At 39.8% G+C, this 19,426-nt stretch overlaps 1 protein-coding gene and 1 non-coding gene across 2 annotated transcripts in view; both read left to right on the top strand.

The window, feature by feature from the left end:
• IPMK (inositol polyphosphate multikinase) overlaps positions 1-19,426 on the top strand; it is a 76,378-nt gene that overhangs the window by 15,469 nt on the left and 41,483 nt on the right. Inside the window, exon 2 of the mRNA NM_152230.5 lies at positions 14,612-14,697. Coding sequence (NP_689416.1) covers positions 14,612-14,697 — 86 coding nt within the window. The remainder of the gene's footprint in view (positions 1-14,611; positions 14,698-19,426) is intronic.
• LOC124902578 (small nucleolar RNA U13) lies at positions 13,666-13,769 on the top strand. The gene has a single exon (XR_007062411.1). It is a non-coding gene; the product is annotated as a small nucleolar RNA U13 (small nucleolar RNA).

The following is a 19,426-nucleotide window of genomic DNA, read 5'->3' as shown; positions in this document are numbered from 1 at the left end:
AGAATACTCTAATACTGTAATTATGGTAAGTAAAACCACTTATATCTTAAAGATGAAGACTAAAAGACAAAACTCTTAATAACTCCAACAATTGGTTAAGAGGCAATATAAAAAGGTATAAATTGAAACAGTCAAAGTACCGGGGGTGATATGGTGTTAAAGTATAGAGTTTGTTTTTGATACTTGACAGTCCACATTGAGTTGTTATCAGTTTAAAATAACCTGTTGTAACTACAAGATGTTTTTTATAAGCCTCGTGGTAACCACAAACCAAAAACTGTAAGAGAGACACTAAAAATAAATGGCATAGAATCAAAACATACTGCTAGAAAAAAATCCTTAACTACAAAGGAAGACAGTAAGTGGAAAAAAGGAAGAAAAGATCTACAAAACAACCACAAAACAACTAACAAAATGGCAGTAGTAAACCCTTACCTATCATACCTTGAGTGTAAATGTATTACATTCCCCAGTTAAAAGACATAGAGTTGCTGACTGGATAATAAAACAAGACCCAACTATATGCTGTCTGCAAGAAACTCACTTTACCTTTAAAGACATGCACAGATTGAAAGTAAAGGGATAGAAAGATATTCCATGCAAATGCAAACCAAAAGAGAGCTGGAGTAGCTATGGTTGTATCAGATAAAATAAACTGTCAACAGTGTTACAGAGGACAAAGGAGGCCATTTGTTACATAATGGTGAAGGAGTCAGTAGTACCGCAAGAGGATATAACAATTGTAAATGTGTATGTACTCAACACTGGAGGACCCAAGTATATAAAACATATTAGTGGACCTAAAGGGAGAAATTGACTTTAATAGAATAATAGTAGGAGACTTCAACACCCCACTTTTGGCAATAGACACATGATCCAGATAGGAAAATCCACAGTCTCCAGAGTTAAATTGGACTGTAAGCCAAATGGACCCAACAGACATTTACAGAATATTGCAGTAAACAGTTGCAGAATACACATTTTTTTCAACAGCACATGGGGCATTCTCCAGGATAAATCATATGTTAGGTCCCAAAGCAAGTCTTAACAAATTTTTAAAAATAATATCAACTATCCTTTCTGACCACACAGAATAAACCCAGAAACGATATAGAAGGAATGATGGAAATGGTACAAATTTATGGAAATTAAACAACATGCTCCTGAACAATGAATGGAGTCAATTAAGAAATTAAAATAAATTATAAAATTCCTTCAGACAAATGACAATGGAAACAGCATACCAACACATGGGATGCAAGAAAAGCAGTTCTTTGAGGGAAGTTTTTAGCAATAAACACTGATGTCAGAATGTAGAAAGACTTCAAATAACCTAATGATGCATCTCAATGAGTTAGAAGAGCAAGAACAAACCAAAACCAAAATTAGCAGAAGTTAAATAGATGAAAAGTCTCTAAGGATGGTTTGACATACTATGGCAAATCAAGAAACATGATACATCACATTCACAGAATAAAGAACAGAGACTGTATAATTATTTCAATAGATGCTGAAAAACATTTGATAAAATTCAACATCACTTCCTGATAAAAATTCTCACCAAACTGTGTATAGAAGGAACATACTTCAGAACAATAAAGGCCATTTGTGAAAACTCACAGCTAATATAATACTGAATTGGGAAAAAGTGAAGCCCTTCTTCTGAAATCTTAGAAGAAGACAAGGATGCTCATTTTCACTACTCCTATTTGAGTGGAAGTCCTACTCCTAGGAGTGGAAGTCCTAGTCAGAGCAATTAGTCTAGAGAAGGAAATAAGAAAGGAAGAAGTCAAATTACACTTGTTTGCAGACAACATGATTTTATATTTAGAAAAATCTAAAGACTCCACCAAAATACTGTTAGAGCTGATGAAAGAATTCAGCAAGGCTGCAAGATACAAAGTCAACATACAAAAATCTGCATTTCTATACATCAGCAGTGAACAATCTGAAAAAGAAACTAAAAAAGCAATCTCATTTACAATAGTTAACAACAACAACAACAACAAAAACCCTAGGAAAAAATTTAACCAAAAAAGTGAAATATCTTTACAATAAAAACTATAAAACACTGCTGAAAGAATTGAAGAAGACACACAATATGAAAAGATATGTTCATGGATTGGAAGAATTAATATTAAAATGTTCGTACTACCCAAAGCAGTCTACAGAGTCAATGTAATCCCTATCAAATCACCAAAGACATTCATCAGAGAAATAGAAAAAAGTCCTAAATTTGTATGGAACCACAAAAGACCTCAAATACCCAAAGAAATGCTGAGCAAAAAGAATAAAGCTGGAGGCATCATACTACCTGGCTTCAAAATTTACCACATAGCTGTAATATCCAAAACACCATGGCACTGACATAAAAACAGACACATAGTCTAATGGAACGTAATAGTGAACTGGAAATAAATTCACTGGTTTCCAGCCAACTGATTTTTGGCAAAGGTGCTAAGCCACATACATTGGGGAAGGGATGGTGTCTTCAATAAGTGGGGTGGGAAAACTGGATATCCATAAGCAGAAAAATGAAACTAGATCTGTATCCCTTACCATATATAAAAAACCAATATGTATTTGATTGGATTGGATGTAAAACATAAAACTACTAGAATAAAATACTGAAGAAATGCTTTGGGACAATGGTCTGGGCAAAGATTTTCTGGGCAAGACCTCAGAAGGACAGGCAACAAAAGCAGACATACAAATGGGGTTACATCAAGCCAAAAAGCTTATGCACTACAAAGGAAACAATCAACAGAGTGACAGCCTATAGAATGGGAGAAAATATCTGTAGACTATCCTTGTGAGAACAGATTAATAAGCAGAATGTATAAAGAACCAACTCAACAGCAAAAATAATCCAATTAAAACTGGGCAAAGAATCTGAATAGATATCTCTCAAAAGTGGACATACAAATGACCAGTTGGGGTATGAAAAAGTGCTCAACATCACTAATCATAAGAGAAAAGCAAGTATAAAAAACAATGAGATATTATCTCATGCTAGTTAAAATGGCTATTATTAAAACGTCAAACTGAGCATGGTGGCTTATGCTTATAATCCCAGCCCTGGGAGGCTGGGGTGGGAGGATTGCTTGAGCCCTGAGGATGGAGGCTGCAGTGAGCTATGATTGTGCCGCTGCAGTCCAGCCTGTGTTACAGAGAGAGACCCTATCTCAAAAACAACAACAACATATACATCTTTTTAAAACAGTGAAAGGATAGCAGATGCTGCCAAGGATGTGGAGAAAGAGAACACTACTACACAGTTGTTAGGTATGTAAATTAGTATAGCCACTTTGGGAAATAGTATGGAAGTTCCTCAAAAAACTAAAAATAAATCTACCATATGATCCAGCATTCCTGCTTCTGAATATATATCCAAAAGAAATCAGTATGTTGAAGAGATATCTGTACTCACCTGTTTATTGTAGCTATATTCACAATAGCCAAGATATAGAATCAACCTACGTGTCCACAACAGATGAATAGATAAAGAAAATGTGGTTCATAATGGAATATTTTTCAGCCATAGAAAAGAATGAAATCCTGTCATTTGCAGCAACATGGATGGAATTGGAGCTCATTATATGAAGTGAAATAAACCAGGCATGGAAAGACGAATAACACATGACCTCATTCAGATGAGGGAGCTAAAAACATTGATCTCATGGTGGTAGAGAGTAGGATCATGGTTGCCAGAAGCTGGGAAAGGTTGTTGGGAGGAATGAAGAGAGGTTGTTTAACGGGTGCAAAAATACACTTAGAAGGAATAAGTTCTAGTGTTTAATAGCACGATAGGGTGATTATAGTTCACAAAAATGTATATTTCAAAATAGCTAGAAGAGAATATTTGATATGTTCCCAACACAAATGAATTATGTGTTTGAGGTGATGGATACACTGATTGCCCTTATTTGATCATTACACATTGTAAGCACATATCAAAATAAATATATGTGCACACACATAAATATGTACAGTTATGTATCAAAAAAATTTAGAAAATGCCTTCTGCAGATAGAAATTTTAGCGTGCATTTATTTTTAATATTTGTAATCCTGCTGAATATACAACATTTTTAATTTTGTTAAAAAACACAGTTTGCCATCTTGGCCATTTTTAAATGTACAGTATTCTTAATTACATGCACATTGATGTGCAACAGATCTCTGGGACTTTTTTTTTTAAATTCATTATTATTATACTTTAAGTTTTAAAGTATAATAATATACTTTATTATCACATAAAATAGACTGAAGTGAAGTATAAACAGTGTTTATCAGTAGGTGGTGGGTTGTAGCCCTTTATGTTTTTTATTCTTTGCACTTTTCCCCGATTTTTCACAAGGAGCATGTGCAACTTGCATAATCATAGAAGGATGACTTTGTTTTTAATATAGGTGTTCATTTAGTAAAGAGAAAAAAGGGGCAACACATACATAAAGGAAAAAGTCTGTAGCTGTGGAGCAAGCTGTGGATATCCACTAGCTAATTAGAGGGCTTTACTTCCAAATTTTAATTCATCCCATTACTCCTTTTAATGTGAGAGTTTATTCTATGTATATCAAAAGCCTTGCATTTCTAATTCTTTTTTATTTATTTATTTATTGTTATACTTTAAGTTTTAGGGTACATGTGCACAATGTGCAGGTTAGTTACATATGTATACATGTGCCATGCTGTTGTGCTGCACTCACTAACTCGCCATCTAGCATTAGGTATATCTCCCAATGCTATCCCTCACCCCTCCTCCCACCCCACAACAGTCCCCAGAGTGTGATGTTCCCCTTCCTGTGTCCATGTGTTCTCATTGTTCAGTTCCCACCTATGAGTAAGAATATGTGGTGTTTGGTTTTTTGTTCTTGTGATAGTTTACTGAGAATGATGATTTCCAATTTCATCCATGTCCCTACAAAGGACATGAACTCATCATTTTTTATGGCTGCATAGTATTCCATGGTGTATATGTGCCACATTTTCTTAATCCAGTCTATCATTGTTGGACATTTGGGTTGGTTCCAAGTCTTTGCTATTGTGAATAATGCCGCGATAAACATACGTGTGCATGTGTCTTTATAGCAGCATGATTTATAATCCTTTGGGTATATACCCAGTAATGGGATGGCTGGGTCAAATGGTATTTCTAGTTCTAGATCCCTGAGGAATCGCCACACTGACTTCCACAATGGTTGAACTAGTTTACAGTCCCAGCAACAGTGTAAAAGTGTTCCTATTTCTCCACATCCTCTCCAGTACCTGTTGTTTCCTGACTTTTTAATGATTGCCATTCTAACTGGTGTGAAATGGTCTCTCATTGTGGTTTTGATTTGCATTTCTCTGATGGCCAGTGATGGTGAGCATTTTTTCATGTGTCTTTTGGCTGCATAAATGTCTTCTTTTGAGAAGTGTCTGTTCATGTCCTTTGCCTACTTTTTGATGGGGTTGTTTGTTTTTTTCTTGTAAATTTGTTTGAGTTCATTGTGGATTCTGGATATTAGCCCTTTGTCAGATGAGTAGGTTGCGAAAATTTTCTCCCATTTTGTAGGTTGCTTGTTCACTCTGATGGTAGTGTCTTTTGCTGTGCAGAAGCTCTTTATTTTAATTAGATCCCATTTGTCAATTTTGGCTTTTGTTGCCATTGCTTTTAGTGTTTTAGACATGAAGTCCTTGCCCATGCCTGTGTCCTGAATGGTAATGCCTAGGTTTTCTTCTAGGGTTTTTATGGTTTTAGGTCTAGCGTTTAAGTCTTTAATCCATCTTGAATTGATTTTTGTATAAGGTGTAAAGAAGGGATCCAGTTTCAGCTTTCTACATATGGCTAGCCAGTTTTCCCAGCACCATTTATTCAATAGGGAATCCTTTCCCCATTGCTTGTTTTTATCAGGTTTGTCAAAGATCGGATAGTTGTAGATATGCGGCGTTATTTCTGAGGGCTCTTTTCTGTTCCATTGATCTATATCTGTGTTTTGGTACCAGTACCATGCTGTTTTGGTTACTGTAGCCTTGTAGTATAGTTTGAAGTCAGGTAGTGTGATGCCTCTAGCTTTGTTCTTTTGGCTTAGGATTGACTTGGCGATGCGGACTCTTTTTTGGTTCCATATGAACTTTAAAGTAGCTTTTTCCAATTCTGTGAAGAAAGTCATTGGTAGCTTGATGAGGATGGCATTGAATCTGTAAATTACCTTGGGCAGTATGGCCATTTTCACGATATTGATTCTTCCTACCCATGAGCATGCAGTGTTCTTCCATTTGTTTGTATCCTCTTTTATTTCCTTGAGCAGTGGTTTGTAGTTCTCCTTGAAGAGGTCCTTCACATCCCTTGTAAGTTGGATTCCTAGGTATTTTATTCTCTTTGAAGCAATTGTGAATGGGAGTTCACTCATGATTTGGCTCTCTGTTTGTCTGTTGTTGGTGTATAAGAATGCTTGTGATTTTTGTACGTTGATTTTGTATCCTGAGACTTTGCTGAAGTTGCTTATCAGCTTACGGAGATTTGGGCTGAGACAGTGGGGTTTTCTAAATATACAATCATGTCGTCTGCAAACAGGGACAATTTGACTTCCTCTTTTCCTAACTGAATACCCTTTATTTCCTTCTCCTGCCTCATTGCCCTGGCCAGAACTTTCAACACTATGTTGAATAGGAGTGGTGAGAGAGGGCATCCCTGTCTTGTGCCAGTTTTCAAAGGGAATGCTTCCAGTTTTTGCCCATTCAGTATGATATTGGCTGTGGGTTTGTCATAGATAACTCTTATTATTTTGAGATACGTCTCTCTGGGACTTTTTCATCTTTTTTTTTTTTTTGAGACAGAGTCTTCCTCTGTCACCCAGGCTGGAGTGCAGTGGCATGACCTCAGCTCACTGTAGCATCCGCCTCCTGTGTTCAAGCGATTGTCCTACCCCAGCCTCCCGAGTAGTTGGGATTACAGGCATGTGGTACCACCCCTGGCTAATTTTTGTGCTTTCAGTAGAGACGGGGTTCCACTATGATGGCCAGGATGGTTTTGAACTCCTGACCTCGTGATCCGGCTGTCTTGGCCTCCCAGAGTACTGGGATTATAGGCATGAGCCATTATTTTCTAGCCTACTTTTTCATCTTTTAAAACTCATGTCCACTGAACAACTCTTTTCTCCCTTCTCCTGGCCCCTGGCAGCTATCATTCTATTTTCTGTTTTCTAAGAATTTAACTGCTTTAAATATCTCCTATAAGTGTAATCATGTAGTATTTATCTTTTTGTTACACTGGCTTATTTCACTTAGCATAATGTCTTTAAGTTTTATCCATGCTTTAGCATAAGACATAATTTTCCTTTTTGTATTTTTTAATTTTTTTATTTTAATTTGTTTATTTTATTATTTTTTTTTTTTTAGTATTTATTGATCATTCTTGGGTGTTTCTCAGAGAGGGGGATGTGGCAGGGTCATAGGATAATAGTGGAGAGAAGGTCAGCAGATAAACATGAGAACAAAGGTCTCTGGTTTTCCTAGGCAGAGGTCCCTGCGGCCTTTGGCCCTGTTTGTGTCCCTGGGTACTTGAGATTAGGGAGTGGTGATGACTCTTAATGAGCATGCTGTCTTCAAGCATCTGTTTAACCAAGCACATCGTGCACCGCCCTTAATCCATTTAACCCTGAGTTGACACAGCACATGTTTCAGAGAGCAGGGGGTTGGGGGTAAGGTTATAGATTAACAGCATCCCAAGGCAGAAGAATTTTTCTTAGTACAGAACAAAATGGAGTCTCCTATGTCTACTTCTTTCTACACAGACACAGTAACAATCTGATCTCTCTTTCTTTTCCCCACATTTCCCCCTTTTCTTTTTTTTCGACAAAACCACCATCGTCATCATGGCCTGTTCTTGATGGTCGCTGTCTCTTCGGAGCTGTTGGGTACACTTCCCAGACGGGACGGCCTGGCAGAGGCGCTCCTCACTTCCCAGACGGGGCGGCGGCCGGGCAGAGGTGCTCCTCACCTCCCAGACGGGGTGGCTGGGCGGAGGCGCTCCCCACCTCCCAGACGAGGAGCGGCCGGGCAGAGGCACCCCCCACTTCCCAGAGGGGGCGGCCGGGCAGAGGCGCTCCTCACTTCCCAGACGGGGCGGCCTGGGCAGAGGCGCCCACTTCCCCGACGGGGCGGCTGGGCAGACGCGCTCCCCACCTCCCAGACCAAGGGCAGCCGGGCATAGGCGCTCCTCACCTCCCAGGTGGGGCGGCCGGGCAGAGGCGCTCCTCACCTCCCAGACGGGGCGGCCGGGCAGAGACGCCCCTCACCTCCCAGACAGGGTGGCCAGGCAGAGGCGCCCACTTCCCAGACGGGGCGGCCGGGCAGAGACGTTCCCCACCTCCCAGACGAAGAGCGGCCGGGCAGAGGTGCCCCTCACTTCCCAGGCGGGGCAGCCGGGCAGAGACGCCCTTCCCCTCCCAGACGGGGCGGCGCGCCAGGCAGAGGCACTCCTCACATCCCAGACGATGGGCGGTCGGGCAGAGACGCTCCTCACTTCCTAGACGGGGTGGTGGCCGGGCAGAGGCGCTCCTCACTTCCCAGATGGGGCGGCCGGGCAGAGGGTCTCCTCACATCCCAGACGATGGGCGGCCAGGCAGAGATGCTGCTCACTTCCTAGATGGGGTGGCGGGTGGGCAGAGGCTGTAATCTTAGCACTTTGGGAGGCCAAGGCACGCGGCTGGGAGGTGGAGGTTGTAGCGAGCCGAGATCACGCCACTGCACTCCAGCCTGGGCAACATTGAGCATTGAGTGAGCGAGACTCCGTCTGCAATCCCAGCACCTCGGGAGGCCGAGGCGGGCTAATCACCCGAGGCCAGGAGCTGGAGACCAGCCCAGTCAACACGGGGAAACCTCGTTTTCACCAAAAATATATAAACCAGTCAGGAGTGGCGGCACGTGCCTGGAATCACAGGCACTCGGCAGGCCGAGGCAGGAGAATCACCCGAGCCCGAGGCAGCGAGGTTGCAGCAAGCTGATATCATGGCAGTACGGTCCAGGCTCCGCAAGAGAGGGAGACCGTAGAAAGAGGGAGAGGGAGAGGGATTTTCCTTTTTTTAAAGGCAGTGACATTCTATTGTATACATATACAATGTATATCCATCCATGCAATGCATATGCATGTATACATACAAAATAATGAATGACATTCTATTGTATGCCTATACCCCTTTTTTTTTACCCTTTCATTTGTCAATGGACATAGAAGTTGCTTCCACTTCTCAGCTATTGTAAATAATGTTATAATCAACATGGGTGTGCCTTTCTCTGATTTTTTTCCTAGGATAGTGTATTAGTTCATTTTCACACTGCTATAAAGAACTACCTGAGACGTAATTTATGAAGAAAAGAGGTTTAATTGACTCAGTCCCACAGACTGTAGAGGAGGCATGGGTGGGGAGGCCTCAGGAAATTTTCAATCATGGTGGAAGGCAAGCACCTTCTTTACACGGCAGAGTAGGAGGGAGAGAGAGAGAGAAGGGGGAAGTGCTACACACTTTCAAACTACCAGATCTTATGAGAACTCACCATCATGAGAACAGCAAGGGGGATATCTGTCCCCATGATCCAGTCACCTCCCACCAAGTCCCTCCCCCAACACAGGGGATTACAATTCAACATGAGATTTGGGTGGGCATACAGAACCAAACCATATCAGATAGTTATCATAGACTGTTTGATATTATTCTATAGATCTGGGATGCTTTCTTCTGATTTCTCCTTCCTTTTTATTTTTTCTCCCTTTGTGTTTCAATTTGTATAATTTCTATTTATCTGACACCAAATTTACTGATTCTCTCCTTGGTTGATTTGAGTATAGTGATGAGCCTGTAGAAAGCTTTCTTCATCTCTGTTATACCATGTATTTTATTTCTACTATTTCCACTAAGTTCTTAAAGTTTCTCTCTGATGGACACACTTGTCTTTTGTTTTCTTTTCTTTTTTTTTTTTTTTTGAGACGGAGTCTCGCTCTGTCGCCCAGGCTGGAGTGCAGTGGCACAATCGCGACTCGCTGCAACCCCTACCGCCTGGGTTCACGCCATTCTCCTGCCTCAGCCTCCCGAGTAGCTGAGACTACAGGCGTCCGCCACAACGCCTGGCTAATTTTTTTATGTATTTTTAGTAGAGATGGGGTTTCACCATGTTAGCCAAGATGGTCTCGATCTCCTTACCTCGTGATGTCTTTTCATCCATGTTGTGTACTTTTTCTATTACAGCTTTAACATATTAATTATGGTTAAGTTCCCCTGTCTGATTATTTTAACATCACTGTCATTTCTGATACTGGTCTGTATTTTGCTGTATTTGTTGACGGTATTATTTTCCTTGCTTTTTTATCTGTTGTAATTTTTATTAAATTCTGGTGGGCATCATGTGTAGGACTGTAGCAAACTGAAGCCAACAGTATTTGTTACTGAAATGATTATACCTCTTCTGCTTGACTGGTAATGTTGGTGATTTGAACCAATCTAATGAGGAGTTGAGATAAATGTAAGTATTGTTGTTATAGTTGGTTTCTGTTATGGACTGAGTGTTTGTGTCCTTTAAAATTCATATGTTGAAGCCCCCCTCCCCTGTAAATGTAATCATATTTGGAGATTGCACCTTTATGGAGGTAATTAAGGTTAAATGAGGTCATAAGGGTTAAGTCTTGAACCAACAGAATGTATCATTATAAGAAAAGGCACTAGAGAGTTAGCTGTCTGCCATGTGAGAACACAGTGAGAAGGTGACCTTCTACAAGCTAAGAGAGTCCATACTAGGAACCAAATCTCCCAGCACCTTGGTCTGGGACTTCTAGCCTTCAGAAATATGGAAAAATAAATTTCTGTGGTTTAAGCTGCTCAGTCTATGGCATTTTGTTATGCAAACCCTGGCTGACTAAAATACTGTCAGTGCACCACAGATTTGAAATTCTGCTAGTGTCGTCTTTTGTTTAGGGTGGGTCTGATTTGCCAGAGGATTTTTCTCAGTATTTCTGTTTAACTGTCTACTTTAGGTCTTCTTTGTGCACCTAGGCCTCAGAGGTGGTTTTCTCTATGTTCGTGCCCCTCCCGCAAATGTAGATTACTATTATTTTTTACTTGGTGATAGCTACCCTGGTGCTAGGCTGCAGAGGTATCCTCTATTGTCTTGGCCCAGATTCAATGTTAGGTAGGCTCTGTGATCCTAAGTTTTGGGGAATGGGACTTGTTCAGGTATCCTGCCCCTCTTTCCTGTAGAAGTCAGACTGCCTTCTGCCTTCAGCAAGTCGTTTGTATGAGTTTCCTTCCCACCCCCAGCAGTAGGAGACCTCTAAAGTTAGGACTGCATATGATTTCCTGTCTTCCTTCACCCTCCCAGTGTTGGAGAATATTTTTCTTTATTCTTCTGCCATCCACAATGGCTTGTCACTTGTTTCTTGGGGACAACATGATTTGCTGCTCTTACCTCAACAACTTAAGACTTTTGATCCAGAGGGGAAAAGGGTCTTTTTTAGTAGTGGTGCTTCACTTCCTTAATGCCTGTACCTCTGATGGTCACTTTTTCTGGCTTTCTGCCTCTCTCCAGTCTTTTTCTTGACGGCCTGGAAGAAAATGCTGCAAGTGTTTGCAACTTCTGGGAGTTCTATACCCTCACTGGAATCTACACTTTGCCATTAGCTATTTGTTAAAAATTTTAGCTTTATTATTCTAACCCCCTTGTAAGGTAACCCCACCTTCCCATTCCGCTCCATGGGTGAGTCAGTGCTCTCATTTGTCTTTTTTTTTTTTTTTTCGTGGTGTATGTCTTCCTTTAGATTTCAAGTCTGTTGGTTATTATCTCAACACTTTGATGGTTTCGTGAAAAGTTATGATTTTGTAGATTATCTAGCTTTTTCTTGCTTTTAGGTGGGAGCAATGCTTCTTCCAGCTTTCTATATCCTAGGTGGAAACTTGAAAGCCCAGAATTTTTTCTCTGGCCCATTCTCTTTTCTCTTTATGGGACCCCAACTACACATTTGTTAAAAACTCTTGGTATTACCTTATGGGTTTCTAATGCTCTATACATTTTTTTTTTCTTTTTAGATACTTTTCTGTATTTTCTTTAATTTAGATATTTTGTATTGGTCTTTGTGAATGTTCATTGCTCTGTTCCTCTGTGATTGTTTATCTGTTGATTAAATCCCATTAATTAAATTTTTTATTTCAGATACTGTGCCTTTTCAGTTTTAGAGTTTTTTTTTGTAGTTTATCTCCTGAAATACCTAATCTGTTTAGCATTTGCATTCATCTTTTTCTATTGTTTCTTTAGCATATTTATACTTTTTGTTTTAACATGCTTGCTTGCTAATTACAATGACTTGGTCATCTGTGTGTCATCTCCTATTATGTTTTCTCTTGATTGTGCTTTATGTTTTCCTGATATTTTGAGTATGTGTCATAATTTTTTCTTGAATCTAGGGCATTTTATTTAAAGAACCGTGGGAAGTGATGTGTACTATTTTTTGTTTTGTTTTGATCCCCCGTGCAGTACATGCCCTTTCCTGTGTTTAGGGTAAGGGACTGAGTTTAGTTGAGCTAGTGCTAGGCTGCAGTCTCAGTTTCAGTGTATCTGTTATTGGCTCAGCATTCCAAGGTGCCTCCTTTTTTATCTTGACAGTTTTTGAGCTGGGGGTGGGGATTTGGTTGCAGGCTCAGATACTGTTGGTTTACTGTTGGTTTATTTGGATCCTGGAATTCACTCACCTAGAGAATGCCGAGATTACCACCTTCTGTCTTCTCAAACGTGAGGGGTTATGTTGCAGGGTGAGTAATATGGGAGACATATTGGACGAAGCAATCTCTTTTTGTGTTGGGATTATTACAGTCTCTAATCCATCCTGCTATCCCATGCTGTTGTCTACCGCTTGGCTGATTACTGCTTGCCTGATAAAATGTATTTGTCTAATGGGAAGATCACCTGTATCTAGACCAAGGTGTTTGCCCCAAGGCAGGGAAGCTGTCATGGTTCTCTGCTTACTTATGAAAGTTCAATTTTTATTTTCCTCTGGAATTCTATTCATCAAAGCTTCTTTACTCATTTTAAGCCCCACAGAAAATGTTATAACCATGGGAATAAAGGCCTTTCTTGTGCTCCATCTGAACCTTCAGGAACAGAATTCTTCTTCAGAAATTTTTAGTTATATTGGACTACTCTTTGAAGTCTTTTGACTGTTTACCAACCAGTCTTATACAGAAAGATTAATATTTACCTACCTTCTATTCTATATCTAGGCCTTTTTAAAATTTTGAACAAATATTTTTAGAGAGGGGCTCTCGCTCTGTCGCCCAGGTTGAAGTGCAGTGGCCTGATCATAGCTAATTGCAGCCTCAAACTCCTGGGCTCAAGCCATCTTCCCACCTCATTCTCCTGAGTAGCTGGGACTATAGACACATGCCACCATGCCCAGCTAATTTTCTTTTTTAAATGTTTTGTAGAAACAGGGTCTGCTATGTTACCCAGACTCATCTCAAACTCTTCCAGCCACAGACTACCAAAGTGCTGGAATTACAGGTGTGAGCCAGCATGCCTGGCCTATATCTAAGTCTTAAGATTAAAAAAAAACAAAAAACAAACTTGATTTCTGTATCTCTTGAGACTTTCTGCTTCTGTTGGCTGAATTCTGCATTTTTGCCATTATTAAAAATTCTAGATCCTTTTGTAGTTCATAAGCACAATGATTGAATTTTCATGCTCATGTGTGAGATATGCCTCACTCCAGTCTTGTTACAGTGTTAGCACATTACCTATCTGATAGAAAGAAAAAAATTCCTAACACTTGCCAAAAAGAAAAGGAAACTCAAGTGGCATATTTAATTGAAATTCTAAATATGTTTATTTGAGCCATATTCTAGCTAGCATGATTTTATAAAATCCCAACACATCAAAATTTAAGATTTTGACGTATAAATTTGGAATGAGTCTTCATGGCATAGGGGTAGGACCAGTGTTGGTATATATATGATGACTTCATAAAAAGTCTCCCTCTTTGAATGGACAGATTATAAAAAGGTGCCCTTTCCTGCTCTAGGCTTGTTGCCTGATTTCAGCCCTAACTTTACCCATTGGCTAGATGCCCTGGTACTATCTATACAGTTGTATACAGTGCATTTGAATCAGCAAATATTTTAGTTGCTTTTAGACAAGAGAGACTTATAAAAAATTACCAAGTAGGAAATTCATATATGGCCACTGTTAACACATATGTTCTTTTCTGGTTTTAAAAGTGGGGTCAATTCGTGCTATTGCTTTTAACTTGCTTCTTATAACTATAAGTTAACATCTTACAGAAAGCCTATTACTGAGGACTTTCTATATAAATTGACACATATGTTTTATGTATTATAAAGCCCGAGGGTGCCAAAAGAGGTAGTGGTTGGAGACACTAAAATGAAGACATTTGGAATTTGTGTTCTGGTGCTTTGCTGTAATAAGTACTGAAACATGTTGGTTGAATGTTAAAATTTCTGAAATAAGTAAAAGTAAACCCTTAAGTTTAATGGAAGTAGTTTACCTGTCACTTCAGGAACTAATCTATTTAATGAAGCAAGGTTTACTATTATTAAAGCATTAAACAATTTCTGATTTTTGTTCCATAGGTATACTGCAACATCCAGATGGCACAGTTTTGAAACAGTTACAACCACCTCCAAGGGGCCCAAGAGAGCTGGAATTCTATAATATGGTAAGTGAGGTAAGATTTGTTTTGTTGTCTTCAAAGTGTTTTTCAGAGTTTTCTGGTGGTGACTCACAGTAAGACACATATTTGACAGCATAGTCACTGTGTGTATGTAACGGAAACAAAAGCTTCATGGAAAGCAGTGCGTATCTTTACTGTATGTGATGCAGTCTAGTATTTTCTATTCTATTTCAGTTCTTAGATTCTTCTTCTGTGTTTATGGTAGATACTTCTTCTCAGGTTAAGGAAATTAAAATTACCCTCTGTGTGAGGCAACATTTTGTCAAGAAACAAATGGTATGCTCTGTTGGTTTCATAAAGGGACTATTTACAAAGGTAAGGTTAGAGCTTATGGCAACCTGCAAGAGATGTTATAATGTTATACCATCCCTGGGCCTGAAGTGGAGAGAATGGTTCCTGGAGCCTAGGGAAGGTAATTTTTATGAGAAGACATGACCTGTTAAGGAGGGAGCTAGAAAAGTAAATAACTGATCTCAACTCTTCTCATACCCTCCAGTCTCTTGTTTGTGTCTTGTAAGGGCAAGAGGGCAAGGGATCTCATTGATGCAGTTGATTCAAGTCAGCCTCTTGGGTGGAGAAGGGTGGAATGGGAAAGGGACGATACATAGCATCTTTTCTAGTTTGATTTTTTCTTTTTTGAGATAGGGTCTGGCTCTGTTGCCCAGGCTGAAGTGCAGTGGCATGATGTTGATTCATTGCAACCTCTGCCTCCCAGGCTCAAGCTATTCTCCCACCTCAGCCTGTGCCTCCTAAGTGGCTGAAACTACAGGCGTGTGCCACGCAGCCCGGCTAATTTTTGCATTTTTTGTAGAGATGGGGTCTCACTTTGTTGTCCAGGCTGGTCTTAAACACTTAAGCTCAAGTGATCCTCTTACCTCAGCATCTCCCCACCCCAACCCAACCTCCCCACAGTAGCTGGAACTACAGGCACAGGCCAGCAAGCCTGGCTAATTTTAAAACAGTTTTTTTTTTTGTAGAGAGAGGGTTTCACCAGTTGTCCAGGCTGGTCTTGAACTCCTGGGCTCAAGCGATCCTCCTGCCTCTGCCTCCCAAAGTTCTGTGATTACGGGCTTGAGCCACGACACCTGGCCCTTCTAGTTTTCAGAAACAATTTAATGCATGAGTGAATATTGAATAGTTTCCAGCTGCCTTTTTGGTATCTGTTGAAATGATCATATGAATTTCCTTCTTTAATCTGTTAATATGGTAAAATACAGAAATAGATTTCTGTATCATCACCTTTCATTTCTGAAATAAAACCTACTTAAGTCTTTTTAATTTTTTAATACTATGCATTGTGAGATTTTGCTTGGGAGTGCTTAAGATCTTTTCCAGCTGTGTGCACAAATGAAATTAAACTCTTATTTTCTTCACATATTATCTTTATCTGCTTTTGATATGTTTCATTTAGCTTCATAAATGTGTCCAGGAGCCTTTTCGTATCTATTTTGTTAAAGAATTTGCATCAGATAAGAGTTTTGTTCTTTAGGTATGGTGGCTTATGCCTATAATCTCAGTACTTTGGGAGGCCAAGACAGGTGGATCCCTTGAGGTCAGGAGTTCAAGATCAGCCTGGTCAACATGGTGAAACCCCGTCTCTACCAAAAAAAAAAAGAATTAACCCACTGTGGGTGGCACGTATCTGTAATCCCAGCTACTTGGGAGACTGAGGCAGGAAAATCATTTGAACCCGGGAGGTGGAGGTTGCAGTAAGTCAAGATTGCACCACTGTACTCCAGCATGGGGGGACAGGGTGAGACTCTCTCTAAAAAAAAAAAAAAGTTCTTTAAGAAGTTCTTTAAGAGTTTTGTTCCTTAAAGGCTTGATAGAACTTACCTATAAATTTGTCACAACAGCCTACTGGTTGTCTCTCTCTTTCTTTTTCTTTTTTTTTAAATTTTTTATTACACTTTAAGTTCTAGGATACATGTGCACAACGTGCAGGTTTGATACATAAGTATACATGTGCCATGTTGGTTTGCTGCACCCATCAACTCGTCATTTACATTAGGTATTTCTCATAACGCTATCCCTCCCCAGCCCCGCAGCCCCTGACAGGCCCCGGTGCGTGATGTTCCCCTGTGTCCAAGTGATCTCTTTGTTCAATTCCCACCTATTAGTGAGAACATGTGGTGTTTGGTTTTCTGTCCTTGTGATAGTTTGCTGAGAATGATGGTTTCCAGCTTCATCCATGTCCCTGCAAAGGACATGAACTCATTCTTTTTTATGGCTGCATAGTATTCCATGGTGTATATGGGCCACATTTTCTTAATCCAGTCTATCATTGAGGGACATTTGGGTTGGTTCCAAGTCTTTGCTATTGTGAATAGTGCTGCAGTAAACATACGTCTACATGTATCTTTATAGTAGCATGATTTATAATCCTTTGGGTATATATCCAGTAATGGGATTGCTGGGTCAAATGGTAATTCTAGTTCTAGATCCTTGAGGAATCGCCACACTGTCTTCCACATGGTTGAACTAATTTACACTCCCACCAACAGTGTAAAAGTGTTCCTATTTCTCCACATCCTCTCCAGCATCTGTTGTTTCCTGACTTTTTAATGATTGCCATTCTAACTGGTGTGAGATGGTATCTCATTGTGGTTTTGATTTGCATTGCTCTGATGACCAGTGCTGATGAGCATTTTTTCATGTGTCTGTTGACTGCCTAGATGTCTTCTTTTGAGAAGTGTCTGTTCATATCCTTTGCCCCCTTTTTGATGGGGTTGTTTGTTTTTTTCTAGTAAATTTATTTGAGTTAGTTGTAGATTCCGGATATTAGCCCTTTGTCAGATGGGTAGATTGCAAAAATTTTCTCCCATCCTGTAGGTTGCCTGTTCACTCTGATGGTAGTTTCTTTTGCCATGCAGAAGCTCTTCAGTTTAATTAGATCCCATTTGTCTATTTTGGCTTTTGTTGTCATTGCTTTTGGTGTTTTAGTCATGAATTCCTTGCCCATGCCTATATCCTGAATGGTATTGCCTAGGTTTTCTTCTAGGGTTTTTATGGTTTTAGGTCTAACATTTAAGTTTTTAATCCATCTTGAATTAATTTTTGTATAAGGTGTAAGGAAGGGATCCAGTTTCAGCTTTCTCCATATGGCTAGCCAGTTTTCCCAGCACCATTTATTAAATAGGGAATCCTTTCCCCATTGCTTGTTTTTGTCAGGTTTGTCAAAAGATCAGATGGTTGTGGATGTGTGGTGTTCTTTCTGAGGACTCTGTTCTGTTCCATTGGTCTATATCTCTGTTTTGGTTCCAGTACCATGCTGTTTTGGTTACTGTAGCCTTGAAGTATAGTTTGAAGTCAGGTAGCATAATGGCCCCAGTTTTTTTCTTTTTGCTTAGGATTGTCTTAGCAATGGGGGCTCTTTTTTGGTTCCATATGATCTTTAAAGTAGTTTTTTCCAATTCTGTGAAGAAAGTCATTTGTAGCTTGATGAGGATGACATTGAATCTGTAAATTACTTTGGGCAGTATGGCCATTTTCACATATTGATTCTTCCTGTCCATGAGCATGGAATATTCTTCCCTTTGTTTGTGTCCTCTTTTATTTTGTTGAGCGGTGGTTTGTAGTTCTCCTTGAAGAGGTCCTTCACATCCCTTGTAAGTTGGATTCCTAGGTATTTTATTCTCTTTGTAGCAATTGTGAATGGGAGTTCACTCATGATTTGGCTCTCTGTTTGTCTGTTAATGGTGTATAGGAATGCTTGTGATTTTTGTACATTGATTTTGTATCCTGAGACTTTGCTGAAGTTGCTTATTAGCTTAAGATTTTGGGCTGAGACGATGGGGTTTTCTAAATATACAATCATGTCATCTACAAACAGGGACAATTTGACTTCCTCATTTCCTAACTGAATGCCTTTCACTTCTTTCTCCTGCCTGATTGCCCTGGCCAGAACTCCCAACACTATGTTGAATTGAGTGGTGAGAGAGGGCATCCTTGTCTTGTGCCAGTTTTCAAAGGGAATGCTTCCAGTTTTTGCCCATTCCGTGTGATATTGGCTGTGGGCTTGTCATAAATAGCTCTTATTATTTTGAGATACATTCCATCAATATCTAGTTTATTGAGTTTTTTTAATGAAGGGCTGTTGAATTTTCTTGAAGGCCTTTTCTTCATCTCTTGAGATAATCATGTTTTTTGTCGTTGGTTCTGTTTATGTGACGGATTACGTTTATTGATTTGCGTATGTTAAACCAGCTTTGCATCCCAGAGATGAAGCCAACTTGATCATGGTGGATAAGCTTTTTGATGTGCTGCTGGATTTGGTTTGCCAGTATTTTATTGAGGATTTTTGCATCGACATTCATCAGGGACGTTGGTCTAAAATTCCCTTTTTTTTGTTGTGTCTCTGCCAGGCTTTGGTATCAGGATGATGTTGGCCTCATAAAATGAGTTAGGGAGGATTCCCTCTTTTTCTATTGATTGGAATAGTTTTAGAAGGAATGGTACCAGCTCCTCTTTGTACTTCTGGTAGAATTCGGCTGTGAATCCATCTGGTCCTGGACTTTTTTTGGTTGGTAGGCTATTAATTATTGCCTCAATTTCAGAGCCTGTTATTGGTCTATTCAGAGGTGCAACGTCTTCCTAGTTTAGTCTTAGCAGGGTGTATATGTCCATGAATTTATCCATTTCTAGATTTTCTAGTTTATTTGCATAGAGGTGTTTATCGTATTCTCTGATGGTAGTTTGTATTTCTGTGGGATCA

This window comes from Homo sapiens, chromosome 10 (genome assembly GCF_000001405.40).
Source record: "Homo sapiens chromosome 10, GRCh38.p14 Primary Assembly".
Taxonomy (NCBI): domain Eukaryota; kingdom Metazoa; phylum Chordata; class Mammalia; order Primates; family Hominidae; genus Homo; species Homo sapiens.
The sequence above is the reverse complement of the archived record's forward strand: the minus strand, read 5'-3'. Positions and strand labels throughout refer to the sequence as shown.